At 36.8% G+C, this 26,122-nt stretch overlaps 1 protein-coding gene across 14 annotated transcripts in view; it reads left to right on the forward strand.

Moving 5' to 3' along the window:
* The window catches only part of POLA1 (DNA polymerase alpha 1, catalytic subunit), a 303,069-nt gene that overhangs the window by 127,915 nt on the left and 149,032 nt on the right, over nucleotides 1-26,122 (forward strand). For 11 of the 14 annotated variants that reach the window (NR_165483.1, NR_165482.1, NM_001440806.1 and 8 more), the window contains 3 exons: nucleotides 4,595-4,769; nucleotides 19,820-19,998; nucleotides 21,714-21,845. Coding sequence is in view for 12 of the 14 variants with exons in the window: in NM_001440806.1 (NP_001427735.1) it covers nucleotides 4,595-4,769; nucleotides 19,820-19,998; nucleotides 21,714-21,845 (486 nt within the window). In the remaining 2 variants the exon portion in view is untranslated. The other 3 variants (XM_011545540.4, XM_047442180.1, XM_024452392.2) reach the window with 2 other exon arrangements.

A 26,122-nucleotide genomic window follows, 5' to 3' on the forward strand; every position in this document is an offset into this window, starting at 1 on the left:
GCCATATGTTCAGCAGTAGTCCTCATTTATCTCTTTCCTTTTGCAGCAGTTCCCATTATAAATATCAGTGGAATAATAAAAGAATAAATGCCATTTTTTCCCTAGCAAATGTCCAAATAATTATGTGAAAAAATATGAACTACATGATTATACGGAGAAGTTGAGAGATCCTATGAACATACCCTATGAGGAAACCACACAATTCAACCAGTTTTTTTTTTTTTCTTCCTTCAAGTGGAGAGGGCCCACCTCCTTACCCTTCCTTCTCCGTTTCACAAGGTACCTCTAGGCCTTCTGGAACACAGTTTTAAGCCACTACCAGTTCTTTTGATAATAGCATGCCTATAATGGGTGAGGAGAGAGAGTAAGAGAGAAGAGCAGTTTTTTGACTTTCGAAGCCCTTAACTATTTTAACAAAGGAGAGGTCTCATCCCTTCTATCTGTAAAGATAAGTCAGGGTCATAGCATTTATCCAAATTCTTTCAAATTACAATGGTATAGACTACTTACCATAAGGTATAATTTATCTGAATAAAACTTTTTTAAAGAAATTAAGTTTTATCCTAATTGTTATTGCATTGTGTTGTTACAGTAAAAAAATGTTTTACATAAACCTAAAAAGTAATTGCAATATGATTGATATTTGTCAAACCACAATCAATGTGTTTTTAAATCAGAGTCTTTTGAAAATTTAAAAGTAGTCTGCTGATACCTGCTATATGCTGTGGATGTACATAACAAATGATTTAAGTACGTGGACAGGAATCAGCACTTGACTCTGTCTCCCCCCTAGGGTTACCCTTGATTAAGAACTGTTACAGAAAGCCAATTCCTGCAGGAAAATATTTCCATAAATGTCTGACTCGCTCAAGCCCTTAATGTGCTTTGCATATTGCCTCTGACAAGTCTCATCTCAAAAAAACAATTTTCATATTATGCAAATAAAGATTTTGGTAAATAGGCTAGGTTTTTTTTTTTCACTTATGTCTTCACATACATGGAAAAGCTCTTAGATTGGTGATGAGAAGAACAGATGGCAGCATACAACTTTGAAAAATTATATAGGTTCAGTGAAATAGCATTAATAATGAAATCAAGCCACAATTGTGTTTTGGCCAAACCTGCAATGAAGATGTGTGGTAACTTATAAAATAGGATGATCATTGTATTTAAAAGTCTGTTTTGTGTCCCTTGATGTCTGAATGTTAGGTGTTAAGGTTCCTTTTTCTCAGGTCTTATTGATATGCATAGGCTCAAAATGCTGTTGCTAATGTAGTACAGTACATCCAATTTTATGTATTTTTAGCAATTTCCATCCACTGGTATGTGCCTTATTTGCTTTTTAAAAGTATGATTCATATTTCTTTTTATTAACTTATTCTCCTTAACATATCCCAAGAAAACCTATAGGACTTTAATTTGCCTTTGTACCCTACCCATGGGACATGCTCCCTTTCAACCTGTTTGCTAGCCAAATCTGCCTAAATTTTTTGCTTTTAAGCACTCAAATTATTCTGTTTCATAATGCAGCCATATTTTTAGAATATGCTTTTGAAAATGTATCATGACACTTTTTTTTTTTTTTTTGAGATGGAGTCTCGCTCTGTTGCCCAGGCTGGAGTGCCGTGGCACCATCTCAGCTCACTGCAACCTCCACCTCCTGGGTTCAAGCGATTCTCCTGCCTCAGCCTTCTGAGTAGCTGGGATTACAGGCACGCGCCACCATGCCCAGCTAATTTTTTTGTATTTTTAGTAGAAATGGGATTTCACCATGTTGACCAATCTGGTCTCAAACTCCTGACCTCACGTGATCCTCCTGCCTCAGTCTCCCAAAGTGCTGGGATTACAGGCGTGAGCCACTGCTCCTGGCCCATCATGACACATTTTTAAGAGGACTGTTTGCTGCCTTAAGCAAGGGTGTCCTCCAAGAATAGCCTATATCCTAAACAGGTTTTGTTTTGTTTTGTTTAAAATTTACGTTTAGGAAATAGTACCCTACTGATAACTTATTCAGATGGGTTCAGAGAGTAATGTTTTTGGTATGTAATTTATATTGTAGGTTGTTAGCGCATTAAACCTATGTGAATTATTTGCTCAGATCTTAAATCAACTTCCATTTGTTGGCTAGGTTTTAAATCCATAACTATTTAACTTTCATTAGACATAATTTCCATAAGGCATGCCTTTAACATAATTATTTTAAGGGGCCCACTTGTCTCCAGTTTAAAATATTTTCCCATTAGTTTCCTACTAACGATGACTACCTAGTTTTGTATGAATCGACTGCACCTGGTTGTCTCTCTGAAGTATGTACTTTGTGAAGTTCACAAATTACTACATGGGCACTTGAAGAAGACCAGCGTTGCTTCTTAATCTGTTCTTAAAGATGTATGCCACGTATTCTTGCACATACCATGGGGCCCTGCTCAGGTTTGAGAATGAAATCTTTGAAGGTTATTATTATTTTTTTTTAATTTTGAGACAGGGTCTCGCTCTGTCACTCAGGCAAGAGTGCAGTGGCATGACCACAGCTAACTGCAGCCTTTATCTCCCAGGCTCAAATGATCCTCCCACTTTAGCCTCCTGAGTAGCTGGGACCACAGATGCATGCCTCCATGCCTGGCTAACTTTTTTTTTTTTTTTTTTTTGGTCAAAAAAAAAAATGGGGGTCTCACTGTGTCACCCAAGCTGGTGTTGAACTCCTGGGCTCAAGTGATCCTTCTGGCTCAGCCTCTCCAAGTACTGGGATTACAGGCATGAGCCACTGTGTCCAGCCGAAGGATGTATCTTAGGTCATAGCCTAAATGTTTTTCCAATACGACATAGCAAAACCTGTCATCTAACCAAGTCTTTTGAATTTAGCCATGTTCGAGCTTAGATTTTTAAAATACCCTAAGAAATATGTTTGTGTCACTTTTTGTTAAAACTAGTCTTTTGTGTGAATATTTAGAATAAAAACGTTTTAAACTGAAAGCATGCTCAGAAAGTTTTCAACTGCTTTTTTGAAAACCATGCTTTACTATGAGAACTACTGAAATATTAGAAAGTAACTCTAATATTTTTAAAGGCAGGTGCCTTTAAAAAATATTTTACATGTATAAATTCTATTTTAATTCACCATTAAAAATTGTTAAACTCAACATTGCTGTAATCTTAAGGGTAGACCAATTTTTCATAATTCCGTAAATTGTTCAGATTTTATGTGTTTGGTAAAAGGCAGTCTAAATACAATTGAGTTGTGTGAAAAGACACTGCCGGAGGATTTTTTCACGTGGTTTTTATCATTGGTTGTCACCTTATTATCATCTTAACAATTCAAGCTTCTGAAAGAGCAAGAATTAAACTTGATTAATTATGCCTAATTCCTTTTACTATGTTGTAAACTCCTGACAAATAATAATAAGTCTTTTAATCTGAGTTTGCTTCCTTTTTAGGTATTTCATTTTGTCTTAGAACAGGTAGAACCTGGTTGATAAACAGGCCCAGGTTGTTTTCATCAGGAGCCTAGCCAGAAAAAGAGGCCCCTGCCTCTGGTCTCTGGTAAAGACAGTGGTGTGTGGAAGGTTGCCTCTGCTTTGGGCTGGGTGCTGAGCTGGAAAGGGACTGATTGTAGCAGGAATGAAAGAATAGGATTCACATTATAATCAGTTCTGCTGAGCAGCTGAGCACTGTGAATAGTTATAACTTACTAGTTTGAATATTAAATTCTGTTTCAGATGAGAGGAAGAGTGAGTGAGTTGTTGGATGTTGATCCAGTAGAGATAACTTTTTGGTTCAGAGATGATGGTGACATCATTCACAAGGCTGGATATGGGCCAATTATATATAATTTCACAGCTTTTATTTTTATAGAGTAAAAGAGAAAACCCTTGAAAAGAGGCTTTCTGACCCATCTTCCTTTTCTTGAGGAGGAACCAGGTAAATGATACCAAATGACATGCCCTTCATTCCAGTGGCCAGATATTTGGCTTTTAGAGCCCTGCCACTCTGCTAGGACACTACGTCATTTTTACTTCTTACTGTATCTTGCATATAAATTACTACTCTATAGATTTCATTTCCCCACTCTTTTCCACTTGTTCATTTGCTTCTCAGTGATACATGGCTCTCATAGAAAATATTACTCCCGGGATCTTTGAGTTACTTTGACTAGAATTCTTGCCTGAAGGGATGACATTAACATAATAAAAAAGACCATACACATGTTTTTAAATTATCACTCCTTAAAAAGCCTTTCTGGCTACACTAATTGTTACTAAGCCTTCTCAGTGTTTGGTGATATGGCAGGTGAAATTATTTAATCTGGTCATTGCTATCTTGTTGGTTTCAAGTTTTTGCAAAAAATAGAACACAACATATACTGGATTTATATTCTTGGACACTGGATGAGATCTCAAGATTGAGATGTTGTCCTTGATTTTCCTACTCAAAATGTTCAACAATAGGTCAAAAAGAGGTCTTGATGTTTAGAAGTAGATACATAAAATTTAAATTGTTGCCTCTCTGTTTGACCAAGCAAGTGTCTGTGATTGAGTTGCTCACAACTTTACCTGTGTCTTCTTTTTACGTGTCTTTTTATCATATCTTCTTTTAGGATGGATCAAACCTCACTGCAAGTCAGAGGGCCTATGCGCCTGAGCAGCTGCAGAAACAGGATAATCTAACCATTGACACCCAGTACTACCTGGCCCAGCAGATCCACCCAGTCGTGGCTCGGATCTGTGAACCAATAGACGGAATTGATGCTGTCCTCATTGCAACGTGGTTGGGTAAGTGTCCCAAGCTCACATAGAACCTCACATGGTAACAGGGGCACATGTAGTCTTCCTTGTCTCTTGAGATCTCTGCTTATGGGCATGGTATTGTGTCTGGCACTTCTTTGTTTATAGTTTAGAATGTATTTTTGTGGTTGTTTGGTACTGTCTCCACTCATAGACTATGAGCTCCACATACTTGCTACTGTAACCACATGCCTGCTTCATAGTTGATACTCACTGAATACTGAGGGAAGAGAGGGAAGGCAAAAGAAAGGGTAAAGTGAAGATTTCAGGTGCCGTTACAGTCACCGAGTTTACATTGTTATAGCTTTAATTAGTGTACCTCCATTTATAAGGAGATTGATGCTATCTTGATTATTGGTTCATCTTGTCTCTGTCGCTGAAGGTATTTTCATGTCAAATGAGAAAACATGGCTTTTTAACATGAAATTTTTAATTTTTAATATTCAATTCATTGTGAGAATCCTACTCTATAAGTTATTCTAAAAATGGACCCACTGTTATCCTCTAGGAATTGGCTGATTTCTAAGTTATCATCATCCGAGGAGGTACCAGCCAACCCTGAGACCTCAGTATTACTTTGGCTTTTTGCTATGTCACCAGATTGTCTCCGTTGCTGTGTCATTATTACTTTTGTTATCTTTTGCTTAGAAATGTATTTCATAACCAGCCCTGATTTCATTTTTAGATGACCAAGTACATAAAGAGTTACATTGCTTTTAAGGCCTTTCCTCTCTCTTCTGTGGTAAGCAAAGATGAGTGTTTTCAGAGTACTGCCTAATGTCCTGAGATGGCTCCTCACTATTTGTAAGTCAAGCCCAGGTGCCACTGGCATCTCACAAACTCTTAACTTTGGCAATTATAGACTTAACTTTCCAGCTCCCACCTATGTATCCAGCCTTATTTCTTATTCAGTCTACGCAGTGTCTCCCAAATATGGCACTGCCCATTCTGTCCCTGCTTCATGGAAGATTCTCCCCCTCTTTTTACTAAAACATCTAGCTTTAGCCATGGGCTTTGACAGCATAGGGACCCGGGTTTCAGTGCTGGTTCTGCTATTCACAAGCTTCTGAACCTTGGTCTACACCTTAGCTCCTTGAGTCATGGAATAGAGTTACTCTGAGGGAGAAATAAGATGATATGTGTGAGATGTTCAGCACAAGGTCTCGGGCAAAGGAAGGACTCCGTGAGTGGTAGCCACCTCCCACCCTTCTTTTAGGCGTCAGTAGAAATATGTTCATATTCCTTCAGTCTGTAAGATTTGTATATACTTAGTGCTCAACTACGTTTGTAGAATGAGACTGGCTTTTCCATCGGTGAATTATCAAGTCACATATTTTCTGTCCTGCACCTGTTCAGTATGTTTCTGAGCTCCTCCCTGCTACCCCCATCGTCACTACCCCGTCAATGTTTACTCTGGAAGTGGAAGCTCATTTTTAACATTTGCCTAAGCAAATATTAGGAAGATAAAATTCTACCACCAAAATTATCATATGTATTCTCCAAGATGAGTTGTATTTGATGATGTTTATAAATCCTCAGCTGGGAAGAGAGGACTGTAAAAGCAAGGTATTTTTTAGCTTCACTTTTTTCTCTGCTATACATTGAGCGTTTGCTCTGTTGGATACAGTGATAAGTACTTTGCATTTGTTATCTCATTCAGTCCTTGTGACAACCTCACAAAGGTATGTTGGATTAACTCCATTTTACAGAGGAAGAAGCCAAGGTTTAGAGAGGTAACTATCTTGGTCTTGGCACATAGGTAGTAAGTAGCCGGCTGTGATTCCAAAGGTTGTGATCTTAACTACTGTGCTAAACTTGATTGCCTGTTCTTAGCTCTAAAAGGCTATGAAAGATGTTTTCAACCAGGAGCAGGGTGGCATAGATGTATAAGCATGGGGGGCTTCATGTTTTTCTTGCTCCCTCTATTTCTCACTGTACTCCCCCCCGCTCTCCACTGAAAACCTCTGAGTAAAACCATTTTTTAAAGAGTAGATCTCCGAGTTTTTCCATTTGTGTCTTCAAAAACCTGGTGTAAAACTGTTGCCCTTTTCTTCTTTGGTTTTGAATTTTTTGGTGACCCAGCACTGAGAGGAGGTAGATGGAACAAGCCTTGTCTCATGAATGACATTTAAGATAAGGACTTGCGTAGCCTTGTATGTCAGCAAAAGAGCTGAGCAATAAAGGGTGATGGAGCCTGCTTGGGTGGATTGGCCTGATGCCTGCCTGGATGTGTCAAGGCCAGACATACTAAGAGGGACCAGACTGATTTTGTTAGTTCCAGAAGTCATAGTTAAGATGATTTTTGTTTATAAATTGAACAGTAGCAGATTTTGACTTGACAGATACTTTATTATAACTGCAGCTGCTGTATCATAGGCTGCCTTATGAATTCAGTTTTCACAAATTATTTTCAAAGCCAGTAGTAGACAAGTGGGTCCCATCTTCAGAAGTTTCATGTTTTATCTCATTATTGACCAATCTCAATCTACACAGAGAACCCTCCAGACTTGCACACGGTCCCACCCATATACCCATCACTCCTGCCTCACAACCTGAAAATTCTCTAGGTGCAGCCATGGCTGTGTGGACACTCTTCTGGGCAGTCCCTTCTTGGTGCCATGTAGCCAAGTCAAGCTGATGGGAGGGAATGTGTCCTCGGCCTTGAGGGATCTGCAACTGCTCCTCACTTTTGGCTACTTTTTCTCATTTTTTTTCTTCTGCCACTTGACAGTGGTTTTTATATCGCGGATGTGTGAAGTTGTCATCATTGTGTAGTCCTCCTCTCCTGCTTGTCCTCTTCTCTCATCCTACCCTGTGCCTGCACCAGCAGTATATACACAGCCATCTATATTAGTAACAAATCTTGTAGTCCTTTCCTTCTGCCCCCTTCCAGGAGTTTCAGCATTAATGAAGTGTAGGCCCACAAGTCCCCATCATCATGAAGATCTGTAGAAAACATTGAAGCTCACCAGGCAGATCTCTGCAGGCATTAGCCTCCTGCTCTATTCAGGAGCTGAATTTCTTATCTGCACCCTTTATTCCTCTACCCCAAATAAAAAATTAGGGTGGCTATTCAGTAGGGGCTTCGAGGCCCCTGTTATCAGTTCTACTGTAGCCTGTGTATTTAGGAGGAGGGAGGGAGATGGGGAAGTGGTGGCAAAGTAAGAGAAGTGTTAGGGGGTACGTGGTTTCTAAGAGGTGCAAGCTGTAGGCATAAAATTACTGTAATTTGTTTTTAAAATTCTAAATCTGTTTTCTTTATATAAAAAAACTGCAGCTAGTGAACTGACACCGTTAAATAAGTTGAAGTATACAAATGTATACATAAAATACAAGCCCTCCAACTGCCTAATCACAGACATAAAATAATTCTCTTGCTTTTAATGTAGTTTTTATCTTTGATTAATGAAATGTATTGTAGTATTGAAACTTTAGTGAAGTTTGATACTTTGTCCTTTTAGTTAGTACAAAGAAATCAGGAATAATGGCATAATTTCATTTAGGAAAATTATTAAGCTCATGATTTTTTATTTTTAAGACTCTTTTGTGGAGAGCAAGTATATTTTTCAACTACTTTTTTCTTTCTCTATTGCTTTTATACTACTTTCCTTGAAATGAAAGGCAAGCATCAAGTGTTGGTTTATCCTATGGCTTCACTTTGGAAATTCTCTATTTCTCCCCATCAAGATACCTCCTGAAGTCTGTCTGGTGGCATGTTGCATGGCCAGGTGTTCCGTATGGGGAGACCATTTTAGTGAAAGGGAGAGAGGATAGCCTATTAAATGAGTGAATGAATAAGGCTCTTGAATTGAAAGAGAATAATTTGTTCTAATAACTAATGGTCCTCATTATCCCACAGTAAAATATGTATCATTTTTCTGAAACCCATGCAAGATTATTGCTATTGGGCTTAAATAAAGCAAAATTTTACTCTTTTCCATCTGTGAATAGGAAAAAATATAGTATTACTCTTCTTATACAATAGCCCTATGGGAAACATGGCCACTAAAACTTGAAACTCTTAGCTTTTGTTCTCTAGACTATAGATTTTTCTCTCTCTCATTCTATTGAAAGCTCTCCCGTATTCTGTGGATGAAATATTCACAGTATGCTCAAACATCCAAATAGTCTTCCATACCTAGCTGACTAGGCCAGTGATGAGAATAGTCTAAAGTTCATTTTTGAATTTCATCTTTGAATAAATTTATGTTTTATGTATAACGGTACTTAGAATTATATGTAATATCTCTCCTCCAATGAGCAATGATTTGTACAGTAGTTATAAAGAACCTTTCTTCGGGGTCAGTGATAAAATTTCAGGCATTTGGCTATCTGGGCAGTTTTCTCATTGGTCCTGAGAAATTATTGAGGTTTGAAGAACATGAGAATTTAGAATTTAATCTCTGAAAATACTGCTTAAAAGAAGACAGAACACACTTAACCCAGTGTGTTCTGAGTTAAATTGGAAAGCAAAAATTTCCTTTTAAAAAAATGATGCATACCACTCATATCACAGAGGTTAGTTTTTGTCAGTAGACAGGGTTCAGTAATATCATCTAAGAAATAAGTGCGACAGTGGGTGAAACAGGGCCAAGCGATGTTTGGGGGTGCTTTTGACAGATCCAGGGAGATCCACCTACAAAAAAGAGAGTAAAGTACAGATGGGTAGGGGTAGAATGATGCCGCCAGTGAGTACTTCAGGTATTACTTTGTCAATAAAGAATTTTGCCTTTTTTCATTATTAAGCTCTTATAAAAATAAAACATGACCATTTCCAAACTGTAAATATTTTCTTTTTCTGTCTTTTTATTTTTTATTTTTTTTTGAGAAAGAGTCTTACTCTGTCACCCAGGCTGGAGTGCAGTGGCGCTATCTCGGCTCACTGCAACCTCTGCCTCTCAGGTTCAAGTGATTCTCCTGCCTCAGCCTCCTGAGTAGCTGGGTTTACAGGTGTGTGCCACCACACCTGGCTAATTTTTGTATTTTTAGTAGAGACGGGGTTTCACCATGTTGGCCAGGCTGGTCTCAAACTCCTGACCTCAGGTGATCCGCCTGCCTCGGCCTCCCAGAGTGCTGCGATTATAGGCGTGAGCCACTGCTCCTGGCCCCAAACTGTAAATATTTTCTATAACATAATTAATAGTAAAATTAAAAAATGTTATACCAAATGCATTGCAGAATGTTAAAGGAAATCTTATCAGCTGATAAGAGCATCTCTTACAAGATGGAGTGCCATTCCAAGCATATCATCCAGTGGCTCATGCTCCCAGTCTAGTCTACTTTTGTATTCAATATTAATTGAAGACCTGCTGTGCCTAGCACCATAATAGGCACTGTGAAGGATACAAAGTTGAGTCAGTTATGGACCCTTTATTCAAATTACAGCCCAGTCATTTCGTTGATTTCACTGTTGTGGGCAAGTCTAGTGGGCAACACAGTGTATGTCCCAAAAAAGGTGAAATAAAGGGTTATCAAATTTCAAAGGAAGCAGAAACCACTCCTAGCTGGGCCCACCACGGAAGAGTTTATAAAAGTAGAGGCATTTTGAGGCATTGCTGGAATGGGCTGTGGAGAGGCTAGTGTGAAGTTGGGAATGGTTGCCCACCCTACTGCTTACCAATTCTTCTAGCCTGATGAACTGCAGGGGTAACCTGTGTTATCTCAGCCACCCCCAAAGCACTTTAGGGAATTCAAAGAGAGCCTCTTTAAGGGTTTCAGTTGAACGGTCCTGCATCTCAGTCTCAACAAAGTGAGCACACAGTGGGTTGCTTCTGTGTCGCTAGCCCACAATAGAGGGCCAGTAGTGACACTGCTCATCTCACATAAGCAGTGAGACCTTTGAGAACTTTGAACCAAACCAGAGCATGTTTAGAATAATTGCTTTGGAACTTTTGTATGAGTTATGTAACAACTCTGGCTTTGTAACACTTAGAGGTTTTAAAGGAAAATTGCGGATTTCTCAAATTATTTAAATTAGATCAATTTTTTAAAAAGATAAAATTGTTTTAATTAAGTACACCAAAGTGACATTTATCAAGATCGTGTAGCTTATAGAAAAATGGATAAGACCTAAAAATGGGTAAGGATAAAAAAAGCTGAATACTATACAGCATTGTACACATACACGTACACTGTATTATATATGTGTATGAATAAAATAGAAAAGGGTTAAGGTGATGAATTATAGGTTCCCCCTTTGCTGACAAAATATTAATACTGTTATTTTATTATTAATAAGACAGTTTTTTCCAAAACCAGAAGTAAAACAATGGTTAAGCAATTACTAACTCACCTTCATTTATTTATTTATTTCAGATGGTTTTGGGGGAACGGTTAGTGTTTGGTTATTACATAAATAAGTTCTTTAGTGGTGATTTTTGAGATTTTGGTGCACCCAAAGCAGTGTACACTCTACCCACTGTGCAGTCTTTTATTTCTCACCCCCATCCCACCTTTCCCCCCAAGTCCTCAGAGTCCATTGTGTCATTCTTTTGCCTTTGTGTCATCATAGCTTAGCTCCCACTTATGAGTGAGAGCATACCATGTTTGGTTTTCCATTCCTAAGTTATTTCACTTAGAATAATGGTCTTCATTTTCATCCAGATTGCTGTGAATGTCATATTTTTTTTTATGGCTGAGCAGTATTCCATGGTGTATATATATGCCACAGTTTCTTTATCCACTCATTGTTGGGCATTTGGGCTGGTTCCATATTTTTGCAGTTGAGAATTGTGCTGCTATAAACATGCACGTGCAAGTATCTTTTTGGTATAATGACTTGTTTTTCTCTGGGTAGATACCCACTAGTGGGATTTCTGGATCAAATGGTAATTCTACTTCTAGTTCTTTAAGGAATCTCCACACTGTTTTCCATAATGGTTGTACTAGTTTACATTCCCACCAGCAATGTAAAAGTGTTCCCTTTTTACCACATCCATACCAACATCTATTTTTTTTTAATTTTTTGATTATGGCCATTCTTGCAGGACTAACTCACCTTTTAGAAGGTGGGTGGTTAGGGACCTTGAGCCTAGCTGTTTTTCCCCAGCATCTACCAACATAGCTGGAAGAGAAGTAGGCTGTGTTATAAGACAAGCAATCTTTGGACTATTATTTGTGTTATTTTATATTCCAAATATATTTCCAGCACAGAGTTACCATCTTTTCTCAGGTTTAAAAACAGGAAAGGAAGGCCAGGTACCGTGCGTGGCTCACGCCTGTAATCCCAACACTTTGGGAGGCAGGAGGATGGCTTGAGTCTAGGAGTTCAAGACCAGCCTGGGCAACATAGCAAGACCCCATCTCTACAAAAAATACCAAAATTAGCTGGGTATGGTGGTGCATGCCTGTAGTCCCAGCTACTCAGCTGACTGAGGTGGGAGGATCACTTAAGCCAGGGAGGTCGAGGCTGCAGTGAGCTAGGTCAAGGCTGCAGTGAGCTGTGATCGTTCCATTGCACTCCAGCCTGGGTGACAGAGCAAGACCCTGTCTCAGAAAGAAAAAAAAAAAAAAAAAAAGGAAGAAGACACTTGAAAAGCTTCCTGCCAAGAAATACACATCTCGTTAAGTTAAAATTTATATTTGTGTCTATTGTCAAGGGCATTAAAACCAGTTGATTGAAGTCATGAGAATGCTGCTCATCAGGCTTTTTATTCTGTCAAGATTTTGAGAATTATCTTCTCCAGGAAAATAAAAATCTTGGGTATTCATTTAAACCAAAGGCTCGGCTATTATTTCTTCTAAAATACTCAGAAATTTTCCATTTATATTATGAAGAGGTGTATTGTTGGTGTGAAAGACAGTTTTGGTTGTCTGACACTTATACAGTAAATTGTTTATCTTTAAATTGGATCTGTAGTATTTTAAAAACTTGTTGGGCTGGGCATGGTGGCTCACGCCTGTAATCCTAGCACTATGGGAGGCCAAGGCGGGTGGATTACTTGAGATCAGGAGTTCGAGACAAGCCTGGCCAACAGAACAGGGTGAAACCCCATTTCTACTAAAAATACAAAAGAATTAGCCAGGCGTGGTGGCGGGCACCTGTAATTCAGCTGCTCAGGAGGCTGAGGCAGGAGAATCTCTTGAACCTGGGAGGCGAGGTTGCAGTGAGCCGAGATTGCGCCAGTGTCCTCCAGCCTGGGCAACAGAGCGAGACTCCGCCTCAAAACAAAGCAAACAAACAAAAAAATACAACTTGTTATTATGGAAAAATGTATATTATATATATATATATGGTAGTAGAGAATATAAAATTTTTTCTAGTATCACACATATTAAATTATAGGGTAAGATTAAACCCTCATATACTCATCACCCACCTTCAGTATTCTGCACTGGTGGCCAATCTTATTATTCCTCTTTCCCACCTTCCCCTATTATTTTGAAGTATATCCTATATATTTATTTTGTGTGTTAATATTTCATTTTGCATTTCCTTTTTTTTTTTTTTAGAGACAAAGAGTCTCACTCTGTCACCCAGGCTGGAGTGCAGTGGTGCGATCTCGGATCACGACAACCTCTGCCTCCCAGGTTCAAGCGATTCTCCTGCCTTAGCCTCCTGAGTAGCTGGGATCGCAGGCATGCGCCACCACCCCCGGCTGATTTTGTTTTGTATTTTTAGTAGAGACGGGGTTTCACCGTGCTGGCCAGGCTGTTCTTGAACTCCTGACCTCAGGTGATTCTCCTGCCTTGACCTCCCAGAGTGCTGCGATTACAGGCGTGAGTCAGTGCGCCCGGCCCATTTTGCATTTCTAAAAGAAAAGATTCCCCTTTTCAGCATAACTACATTATTATCACATCACACCAAAAAACCTCACAATTCCTTCATTTCATCTAATTTCCAACAAGTGTTTATATTTCCGTGATTGCACTATGAATACACTTTTTTTAAAAAGCTCCTTGTTTGGATTGGAATCCAGTCAGGGTCAACTTGGTAGTTAATTTCTATTTTTTTTTTTCCTTTGTTGATCCTCCCAGTTTGTTAATTAAAGAAACTGGGCTTTTTGTCCTATAGAATTTTTCTCATTCTGGAGTTTACTGATCACATCCTGGTGGTATCTTTTAACATGTTCCTCTGTCTCCTATGTTTCCTATAAATAGTTAGATCTAAAGATGTGATTATATTTAGGCTCAATTTATTTTATTTTATATTTTCTAAAATATAAAATACACACTTCTTCCTAGGCAATGGGGTTTATGTCTATTTGAGTTTCAATGCATTTTGCAACAAATTCATAGATGTTTCATAAGAAATATTTAGAATGCAATTTTCTCACCTTTCCAAGTGTGAATTTTTCATAGTATAACATGCATACAGAAAAGTACACAAAACCTAACTAAACTGCTTGATAAATTTTCACAAGGTCATCATGCACTAGTGTAGTCATTACTGAGCTCAAGAAACAGTACATTACTACATTCCCAGAAGGCCCCTCATGTCTCCTAGAAATGATCCTCTACATACCTGGCATCTAATAACATAGATGAGGTGGATTTTTGGGGATATTACACAAATTGCGTCTTTGTTCTTTGTGTCTAGACTACTTTTACTGAATATTGTTTGTGAGATTCATCCATGTGGTTGTCCTTCCTTTCTGTAAATTCTGTATAATATTTCATTGTCTGAATATACCACACTGTATGGCTATCTACTGGAGGTACACCTATGAGTTGTTTCCACATTTGAGGTATTTTGAATAGTGCTGCTTTGAGAGTTGTTGTACAGGTCCTCTGTCAAACGTAAGCATGTATTTTTCTTGGGGATGTACTAAGGAGAATTGCTAGGCCATCAGGGACATGTATGTTTACTTTTAGTAGATTCTGCCAGTTTTCCAAAGCGGTTCTACTCGTTTACACTTCCTACTAGCAGTGTTTGGGTGCTCCACATTCTTACCAACACTTGGTAAGATAGTGTTTTCCATCTTCATTTTACATGGTGGCATAGAGTTGTGGTTTTAATTTGTATTTCTTTGATGACTAATGAAGTTGAACACCTTTTCACATGCTTCTTGGCCATTGGAGTATTTCCTTTCGTGAGGTGCCTGTTCAAGTCTTTGTCTGTTGTCCTGTTGGCTTTTCTTTTTCTTATTGATTTGCAGGCATTTCCTATGTGTTCTAATTACGAGTCTTTTGGAAGTATATATTACAGTTTGAGTATCCGTTATCTGAAATGCTTACGACCAGAAGTGTTTGGGATTTTTTCGGATTTTGTAATATTTGCATATAGATAATTAGCTATCTTAGAGATGAGACCCAAGCCTAAACATGAAGTTCATTTATGTTTTATATACATCTTATACACGTAGCCTGAAGGCAGTTTTATACAATATTTTAAAAAATTTTGTGCCTGAAACAAAGTTTTGACTGCAACTCATCACATGAGGTCAGGTGTGGAATTTTTCACTCGTGGTATCATGTTGGCACTCAAAACGTTTCAAATTTTGGAGGATTTCAGATTTTTGGATTAGGGATGTTCAACCTACACAAACATCTTTTCCTATTTGGCATGCTTTTTAAGAGTATAATTCACATAATTTACCATAAAATGCTAAAATCTTGAGTATTATACAATCAGTTATCTAGGCACAGACACAGAACATTTTCATCACTCCAGAATGTTCCCTCGTGCCTCTTCCCAGTCAGCACCTCTGTTATAGTAGCAATCGCTCATCTGAAATCTATCAGTATAAGTTAGTTTTGCCTATTCAAGATTTTCGTATAAATGGTTTCCTACAGTATATACTCTTTTTGTGTGCAACTTCTTTCACTTAGCATGGTATTTTTGAGATTCATCTGTCTTGTTGCATGTAGCAGTATTCACTCTTTCATTGCTGAGTAGTATTAGCTGAGTAGTATTATGGTAGATTATACCAGTTAATCCATTCACTTGTTGATGGACATCTAGAGTGTTTCCATTTTTGGCTATTATGAATAAAGCTGCTATGAGCATTCTGTGGATATAGCATTCACCATTTGAAAATTATTTTTTTCTTTAATCATACTAAATTTTCAGTTCGCATATTGTCCTCTAAGATGTCCAGATATATGAAAGCCTGGACTCATGCAAAAGATAAATGGTTTACTTCCTCTAAGAAATTTTTACAAAAAAATTTCACTCAATGGGATTCTGTTAATTAGCTTCCCTCATAGATTAAATGATCCATATTACAAACAACTGCTTGTAAATACCAGTTACTCCCTTTACTCATTTGGAATTTCATTTATGTGGATTTTCCCTCTTCCCCACTTGCATGAACATATGTAAGGGTTTTACTGTAGTTATTTGCTGTTGCACTAATAGAGACCTTGTCTTTTGAAGGAAGGAAAGTATTTGATTAAATGTATCAGCCTCTCTAATAACAATATGTCTCAAGTTATGAACAGTTTAAAAACTCCTTGGGAGTGGGGGCAGGTGAACATTCTAAAAACAGGCATAATTTACAATGGTTAGAAAGTGCAATGGTAGAAAAATAATTTTGTGCTAAATGTCACACTGGGGGTGTGTGTGATAAGGCTATGGTGACTTAAGTAAAGACAGTACTGCTAAACTCATACACCCTGATGCCTATGATGTTACTTTCTATAAATACTTCTTGAAACATGAGAGTTTTGATCCTGTTGCCAAAATAATGTGAGATCCTAGAAATTTTCTAATTATAAATGACAGTATTTTAATTTCATTCCACTGCCTCTTTTGTACCCTCAACCCCAGCACAAATGAGTCCATCACTACAAGCCACATAATTGAATTAAAGCATACATCATCTCAGCCTATTCTGGGGGGAAACCACGGCTGCTCTTCCTCCAGATAACTAGTTTTGCAAAGCCCAGGCAGGCTGCTTCTTCCTTCATTCTGTGCCTCACCAAAAGACTTAAGTCACCTGTCAAGAGCTAGCCTAAAAGAAATGGAAGTTACTTTTCTCAAATGGGGCATAAAGTTTGTTCCTTTAAGCCAGTTCAGAGAAAGCTTTCAGTAGAAGCAATAAGGAATTTGGGATTCAGTTTTGCATTTCTTGCTCAAAGACTAATGTACGCAGTGTAACATTAATTATACGGTGTAGATGCATGTAGGGCAAGTGCAGTAATAAAGATTTTGCTTTAATGTCATTTTTGACAGAAGTGTTTAATTTTGGAGTGACAACAATTAAAAATGGAATTATATGTAGCTGCTGTTTTGCACATTTTAAAATTCAGAATCTCTACCTGTAGGTGGCAGCACCAGATACTTGTTTCTTGTTTCACTCCAGACTTAATGAGTTTAGGGTATAAGCAGTAAAACTTTAAAGTCTACTGAAACTTCGAAATAAGCTGCTGTTACCAGTTTTGTGAGAATTTGGAAAAACTAATGTATGTGTTGACTAAGTTTGGGGCTTATTTAACCCTGGATTTTCACCTTTTCAAAAAAGATTCCAGCAGCAATGATCCTTACTTTTTTAACATGACATTGTATGTTTTCTTAAAATGATTTAATTTAGCCCTCTGTGGTTTGCCTGTTGAACTTATAACTGCTCTCCCAAGAAAATAACTTTTTAATGGCATTTTGGTATTTAAGTAACTTGTACAAGGATCATTATATACCTAATATTTTAAGCTCATTACAGTCTCTTCTCCCTTTATATTTTTACATTTTAGCATTGAACTATGACCAAGAGACTATTGAGATTGAAGCTCCTTCCCCTGGGGAAAAAAAAAATCACCTTGGGAATAAATCTGAAGTAATTAGCTGAGCCAGTTGACTTTGTTACTGCCATGGGAAGATTGAGTGATTTGTAGAAATGGATATTTAGGGTAGACATTTAGAGTAGACATTTCACAGGGCCTGGTATTTTTCGCAAGTTGCAGCCAGTCGTTTGGGTGTTTCTCCATGAGTAAGTAACAAGATGGCCCACACCCACTTTTAGCTTACTCTGCAGGCAGGCTGTCCCGGGTCAGTGCTTGCAGGTTCATGCACTCAGGTGCACCAAGTGAGCCATGGCTGGTGGGGAGGGGTAGAGAGTAGCTCCTCTTGGTTCCTTTTCGTAGCCTGGCCAATTTTGTATATGTGCAAACCAGCATTGTTTTGTTCCTTTATTTTTGGACTGTGAAAGAAACTTGCCTTTTAGAAAAATCTTGCTTATTTTCTTTTTCCTTATCTTTTGATTAGTGTTGGCCTGGGAAATTGATTAATAGTCATAGGGTCAGAGAAAAAGTGAAGCTGCTTTCTCATAATTGCAAATAAATCAAAACATTATGTGAATACTTGGATTCACAACTAGAGTTTGAATTAGCGACAGTTACCCCTCACTACAGAGATGAACTGGCCTCATTCAGCGGTGTGGTCTCTCTCAATTCCTCTGACCATCCTTAGCTTTAAATGTGAGAGTATATGTATTCCCACATAATTCTCTAATTTACTATTTCTCTTAGGGGTTAGGTAACTTGTAAAATAAGAATGTATAGTGTCTTGGTGACAAGTGGCCCATGTTAACATAATTTATGTCACTAATGAAGAACAGCTTTTCAAATTGTTCTGAATGTGTATTCTTTGTTTTTATCATATACTACCACTTTAGGAAATACTTTAATTCCTACAACGAGTAGCTATTAACTTCATATGCAGCATGAACATGTCTCATATAGTTTTCTAAATGCATAATCTTGAGCGAGTACAGTCTGGATTAAATGATGTTCATTCACTATTTTATTTTTTCATTGAAATGACATTTATTTAGTGCTTGCCACGCAGTAGGCAGCGTTGAACTCGGTTTGTTCTATATTATCCAATTTAAACTTCAAAAGTGTATGATCAGTGATGCTACCTCCGTTTCGCAGGTGAGAAAAGTGAGACTCTGTGTCTCAGTTGTCTTATTCTTTGTTTGGCCCCTTTCAACTGTGAAGAGTCAGCCTCCAGTATTTTATAATTACTAGATGTCGCTTGACAGCTGACCAAATAGGATTTAGGATTCTGTCACTGAATTCTGAATGCATCTGTTAGATTTATCTACCTATGTAGCTGTTGATAAATTTTAAACAATTTTTAGATATTTTTGGTATTTGTGAGCTTTTGGCTTAGTGACTGTTTTATATTACTTATTTACCTTTATACTAAAATAAGATAGTTTTCTCTTAGATTTCCAAAAGCTTTTCCTTAGATTTCCAAAAGATAGAAATATTGTCTCTTATAATCTTTTCTTGAAAGCATCCCTTAGCAATCCCTAAAATTCTAAGAAACAGTGTAGAATAATTATTTTTAAGTATAAATTCAAATAGTAAATTTTGGCACACATGTTTTGACCAAGGGTAAATTAAATTGGTTGGCCTAAAAATGTTTCTTTTCTTTAATTAGTTTGTGGAAACAAAATAGCATAAACATGCATTGATTGATTTCTTATGTTGTTTTGAATGAAATATGGAAGGTATATTTGGTTTCAGGATTCTCAGGGACATTTTGGCCTGTAGAATCTGTAGACCCATTGTTTTTGCACATATTTTAAATTTCTGAATTTCGAACATCAAGAAAACCATGTTGCATTTTGTCTCAGATGCTGCTACTGAATTTTAACCACTGAATTAGATTGCAACCTACATGCTGTTAACTACTGAGCCAAGATGAAATCGACTACTGCATTGAAATCAGGGTTAGCTGTGTCTGCACTTGAAGGAGTTGTAATGGCAGTGAACCTGTTTTCTTTAATGGGATTTTTATTCCCTGATTTTATTCTCAGTTTTAATTGTGACTTTGATTTTAAGAGAATTTCTTAGTACACATTTATTTGAGGTTTTCATTGTAACTTTAAGAGAATAATAAAAAACATCCTATCGAAGTAGGTGCTTCCAAACCCATATGTTCAGTGGCATATTTCTGTGTTGTGTTGTTGCAGTTACTTGTTTTATTTATAAAGTATCTCTTGTAAAAAGAGAAGTCATTTGTCCATGTGCTTTTGAGTTCAAATGGTTGTGTGTATGTGCATGAATTTAAAATAATTTTTTGTGGGAGTTTTCTTCTTTGGGGTATTTTTGGAATACTTTTCTGAATTTGTTTTTTTCTTTTACATTAATAGGACTTGACCCCACCCAATTTAGAGTTCATCATTATCATAAAGATGAAGAGAATGATGCTCTACTTGGTGGCCCAGCACAGCTCACTGATGAAGAGAAATACAGGGACTGTGAAAGATTCAAATGTCCATGCCCTACATGTGGAACTGAGAATATTTATGATAATGTCTTTGATGGTTCGGTTAGTTGTTTCTGTCTTTCATTTTGTGAGTGAACTTGTATAAAGGCCTTACCCCCTTCCCCCACTATGGGGTATATAAAAAGGGCGAAATAAACACACACATGTTGCTTTCATGTGTTTAAAGAATTTTAGCATCATGTGAAATCTACCTTCACAGCTTGCTTTTATTTCTGTTTGAAAACTCTTACTTGAATGTGCTTGAATATTGTTTTGGCTTCCTAGAGTGCTTGACCTTGGTTTTTAAGTGGAATCCCTTAAAAATTCTAAATTATCTTAAAGTATTTTTATTATAATTTCTTAATTAGTAACCTGTATTGTCCCACTGTCAACCCCCATCTATTAAGACTTAGACCAATATTTTTCCTTATCTTAAATCAAGTTACTGGGAACTAAGTGTTTTGGGAAAGTTTGTGTTTGTCTTTACACATCCCACTTACCTCCATTTTGCAAAGGTACTCTTATCTTTTCTGCTGTCTTTGCATATTAGACATTTAAAAAGTCACAGGGAGACATTCCTTTCAAGAAGTACTGCCAAAAAATGTATTATTGACCTTGGATCAGAGCTTGAAACTTGGCCAATTTACTTGATTTCCACTGCAGTGTTATGCATGTACTAGCCATTGGCAAAGGAATAGGCAGCAGAACTGTGTAAAACCTTGAAACTGAAAGAAAAGACGCCCTTTATCTAAATTAAAAGTAATTATTTTAAGTTAATTTGGACAAACAGCAGATGTTTTGCATTTTTTTGAATCAAAACAAAGCAGTCTTTGGAAGCAAGTGCAAGGAAGAGGCAGACACAGATCAGCAATACTTGCTAAATCCTTGAGTTTTGCTTCATTACAGCTGTAAATAAGATAGTTAATTGCATGGAGGCTTGACGACTTGCAGATGGGCTAACTGTGGAAGAGCCGATGTCAAGCTCTGAAATCTCTTCCACCTGGAATTGCTTAGCGTGGCGGGTAGGGTTATGTACCAGATTGGAGCAGGAAACCAAGATGTTTAAGTATCAGAAAGGAAAACAAATGCTTCAGAAATCCCAACAGTTTTGCTATATATTACATTTGCCTTGTCTTTGTTTAAAACAAAACACAACAAAACAAAATGTTTTCTCCAAATATTAATATTTATTTATTTCAAATTTTTACTTCTCCTGCCTCCCTCCCCCAATACACTTCATTTTTTGGAAAAATTGCCAAAATTTTAGATTTGCTAAGCAGACAGTAAGTGATACTGTTTTTGTGGTACTACACTTTTAACTTTTAGACTTTATTTTTAAAATTAACTTGACAAGATGAAAACAAACTAATGTGATAAAGGCTCTTGTTTTTCTTCAAGTTTGTAATGAATAAATACAAATTTAAAGTTTTTAATCAGTATCTCTGAGAAAGAGGTTTATTTCCAGTAACATGACTTCACTGGTATTTACAGAGGGAAAATTATTTTATCCATAGAGTCCCTCGTATAGTGAATGTAAAATAGTGATTTCAGGGTTTTCCCTTTGACTTTGCACTCCATTATGATGATGGCAAGGAATGGAAGGTATGTATGACTAAAGCGGTCTTTGGGAGGAAAATAATTGAGAAGATAGGGTTAACAACTCACCAATAAAACGAATTAAGAATATTCAACACTAGGACAGCATGTAAGTTTTTAAGCACAAAAACCCTTTTATAGCCTCACAGTAATTTTTTGTATACTTCTCCTGACTTATGTAGGGAACAGATATGGAGCCCAGCTTGTATCGTTGCAGTAACATCGATTGTAAGGCTTCACCTCTGACCTTTACAGTACAACTGAGCAACAAATTGATCATGGACATTAGACGTTTCATTAAAAAGTACTATGATGTAAGTATCCATAATGATATTCTTACATACACAACTTATTGAGGTTTGGTACTTGTTTATTGGTTTTCATGAAACTAAAATTTTGAAAAGACTTTTGGGAAAAATTCCTAGTGAAATACTATTAATACAAATATGATAAAGTATGTAATTTTGGCATATTAGCATGACAAATTATTTGATAATTTCTCTCAGGCATTACATCTCTTTCATTTACGAGCAGTATTTTAAATAATGAAATTTTTACTTCTTTTAGAAAAAGCCAGAATATAATTAAGAAATGTTTTAGTTTATTGTTACCTAAATAAGACTAATTAAATGATTGCTTAGATCTTTGGATAAAGGAAGAAAAAAATCACTATTGGCTATTGTCAGCAAGTAGAGCCATAAGATCGTGTGTAGTGATCTTAGTGGACTGCCCACACAAAACTAATACTTTGTGTTTATGTAGCACTCTAAACGACTCCATACCCTAGTTTTTTGAGGAAATCAAATATCTTTTAAATTTAAATGCAGTTTTTCTGGCATTCAAAAGAGAATATCTAATTTTTATAAATTTATAGTAAAAATGCCAGAACAGTGAGTGATTTGTCTTCATTGGAAAGAAGGCTTTTATTCAGAGTTTTTGTTTTTAACGCATTTCACATGAATTAGTTTTTTTCTCTTCAAAAATTAAAAATTTCACATTTCCCACGTGATTTTTCTTAGTGTTTCAGTATGTCATTTGTCATCTAAACAAATTTTCTGTTACTTGAAAGTTTACTGTAACTTCTTTTTAAAAGCTACATTGGCAACACATTTCAAAAAAAAAAAAAAGCTCATGTCTTAGTTAAGGCCTATGACTTTTCTAAAGATTGTTCTGTACTTTTTACTCGTATTAGTTAACATATAATAGCATTTTCTTCTTTAAAATAGAACTCATTATGTGAAAAGTAACTATCAGATCATTAAGATGAAGAGTAAAAACATAGAGTTCCAGTATTATGATTTTGGTGTTGAATATATTTATCAGAAAAGCAAGTCAGTTTGCCTAAAGATTATTAAAAAATAATAATTATGACTACATTTTGGGAAAATCTGAAACATTTTAGTGAATAATCCTGTGCTGCCCTTACTGAACAGTGGATGGGAATAAAAGTTGGCTGTGGGGTCACATTCCTCAGTAGGTGAGATGTGCAGCACATGAAAATTTAGGCCAAATCAAAACTATTCAGCTCCTCATTTACAGGCCTCATTGAACAGAGTATGATCCTTGCTTGACTCTTGGGAAGAATTCTGAGCTTTCTCTCTGTGTTTAGTCTATCAAGATCTTCACCATGGAAATGTTAATACTAGAAGAAACTTATCTATTTCCTTCTTTAAGAGGGAATAGTCTGTTTTGACTAAGTTGCAAATACTCTGAAAAATGATCTTCTGTATAGCTAGAAATATGCCCTGACTGAAAGACTGATTTCTAACCTAATTGTGTGTATGTTGTGGTGGTGGTTATATAAGTATTTTTCAAGCTAAATAACCTACTTTTAGGGATCCAGATATTTAACACAAGGTTTCTAGAGCATTTGCTTTAATTGTTTTTTTGCCAGCCATCTCACTAACATCAAGTAACAGGTTTTTGTAGTTAACTGCCCACTTGATTGACATTTCTAAGGGATTTCTGATCAAAATAGCCATATGTCACTCCTGGGGTTAAAAATTGATATGACTGTCTTGAAAATTAGGAACTTATTTCTCTACTTTCTGATCTGAATTATATGTGATTGGATGGCAGAGAACGAAATCCGTTATTCGTTCTTATGGCCTCATGCTAAACAAATATTTCAAATATTTTCCAGATCAGAGCTTTTGTACAAAAAGCCCCTGTACCTTTAGGTTCTACTTTATTGGTAGACCATCCTGTTTCCTCCTAGAGGTACATGGCATTGAGTTTCTTTTGTTATTGTGCCTTGAGTGATACTGATTACAGTTATTAGTTCAGTGTGATATATCATGGTGATGGTAATCCAATTGGAGACTAATCTAGCAAGTGTACTGAGGTAAGGATATTGATAGTAAGTATTGAGGTTAAGTGATTGTCTCTGAAGCTAATTACCAAAATGGTTTTCTCCTATTTAGCAACTTAAAAAATACTACCCACTGGACATAAAAGTTGTTTGTGAAATGAAGGCAAGAATCTCAATATTGTTTTGATTTTAGTCTTAGAAGCACTGCAGGAGAAGTCAACCTGCACTGAGAAAGGAAGGTATCTTCATGAGAAAGGGACTCCAGGAAGATGAATGGAATATGGTACTTGACCAAACACTATAACCTGCGAAGAAGCATAGTTCTAGATGACTAAGAAATTAGATTGTCAAGAAAAAAGGGACAAAAGTTTGGGGTAACAAAGTATACTTCTAAATCACTTTAATTTTGGAAAAGTACATCACATTCTGTTACCTTCTGTCATGAATTAACAGGACTGACTAAATATGATATAACAAATATTTGTTTAAGTTTATCTGAGAAGCAAACTGTATCACATCATAATATTTTAATAAATATTGGCTCCTTTATGGGAGAGGAGAGGCTTTTTGCTCCTCATCTGTAGCAATGATTGTATTCCCTGAATTCTAGTTTCCTATAACATTTAAACTTTGATATACATAGAAATACAGAAAGCACTGAGCCAGGATATTTTAAGTAATATATTAATTTCTTTAGGAAGAAGATAACTCTGTGCTTTGTCTTGAGATTTGATGAAGTGTTGAAAGACTTCGAGGTAGCACAGAAAGCCTTATTTCTAAGTTGATTTCATGCCCTGGTCCTTGTTGGTTCCTTTGTATAAAGTTAAAATTGAACTGGTATTTTTTGAAAATCATAAAAAGGCAGCTTAAAGACAATAACTCTAAGCTTTTAGGGTTGTTTTTGAAAGATTCCGTTTTACAGTGAAAAATTGATATGTGTTCCCCCTCCCCTTAAATTCTGCTCCAGAAGAGCAAATAGACATACACACACAAAAGGGAGAGAAACACTAGCTAATCTAAATTGGGAAATGAAGAGGGCTTTTTTTAAGCATGAAAATTTCATCATCTTGTCAGCTGGCAGAATGCCTGCTGTGTGGATTCACAAAGGCTAAGAATTACACTTTCATGAAATTTTCCTCACTAACTGCCCTGGTTAATTTGAAAGATAACCCACTGTTCTAATTCATTCCTCAATTGGGCGGTGCAGGTTTTATCTTTGATCTGACAAAGCATTTGTGTTAATCGTTTTGGCCCTCCACTAGACACTCTTGGGATTGTGCTTTTACAATAAATGTGTCTGTGATAGCTCTTTAGTCTATTATACTTACAATAGATCCATAGAACTGGTAATTAATTCTCCACTGCTTTGGAAATGGGAAGAATAGGTGTAGCTCTGTCAAGTGCTGCTGGGAAGTTTGTTTAGCTGGTTCATTTTTGAAGTGTTCCCCTCAGCCATCCAAGAAGCAGCCACAGAAGAGAGTCTGAGATTGAGAAGCTGGCCTATCCTGATGACTTGCTGATAAATGGGAAATGTGACCCCTCTTGGTACCTGGGAGGAGGATATTGGGTCATTTACATTCATCTCAAGTACTGTTCTTTTTAAAGTATATTAAACTCTCATTTTAATACTTAAAGAGCCATTTGCCTCTAACGGTGGAGCCTCTAGAAGATGCAATCGTAATAGTCAACTCAAATACGTTCCTAAATTTTCACTGATGGCTTATGCAGGTTTTAGAGTATTCTGATTGGGTAAAGTGTGTTCCCCACCAGCCTTCTAGTGTTTCTAGCCACTTGTACATTATATGAGTACTTTACTATGATTTTTAAACATTGCGATATTGCTGGCCCTAGATGGGGCTGGCCCTCCATCTCAAAGAACACATGAACAGCTTGTTGGTACCATGCATATGATAACCTCTGATAGTTGCTAGGGCCAGAAATTGGTGGTCTCACTCCATAGAAAGTTGTTGTAGGCTTTATAATCTCAGGATTTTCCTGAATTAAGCTTTTTGAGGACAGGGGCTGTGCTTTCTTTTCTGTTTTATGTGTGATCTCTGCCACAGCCCTTGCTCTCAGAAGTACGTGTATCTTGATGTTTAGTAGCCAAGGAACTGACAAGTAAAGGTTATATTTTGCTGTTTTTTCCTTAAATTTTTTTACATTGCTGTCAGATTGGCGGAAGACTTATTAGTGGCCTACAGGATTCTTGGGTTAACACAAAATTCTACAATATTTTAAGGTCATGAAAGCCATGACAAATAAAGCTCTTTGTTACTTTTC

Source organism: Homo sapiens, chromosome X (genome assembly GCF_000001405.40).
Source record: "Homo sapiens chromosome X, GRCh38.p14 Primary Assembly".
Classification (NCBI taxonomy): Eukaryota; Metazoa; Chordata; class Mammalia; order Primates; family Hominidae; genus Homo; species Homo sapiens.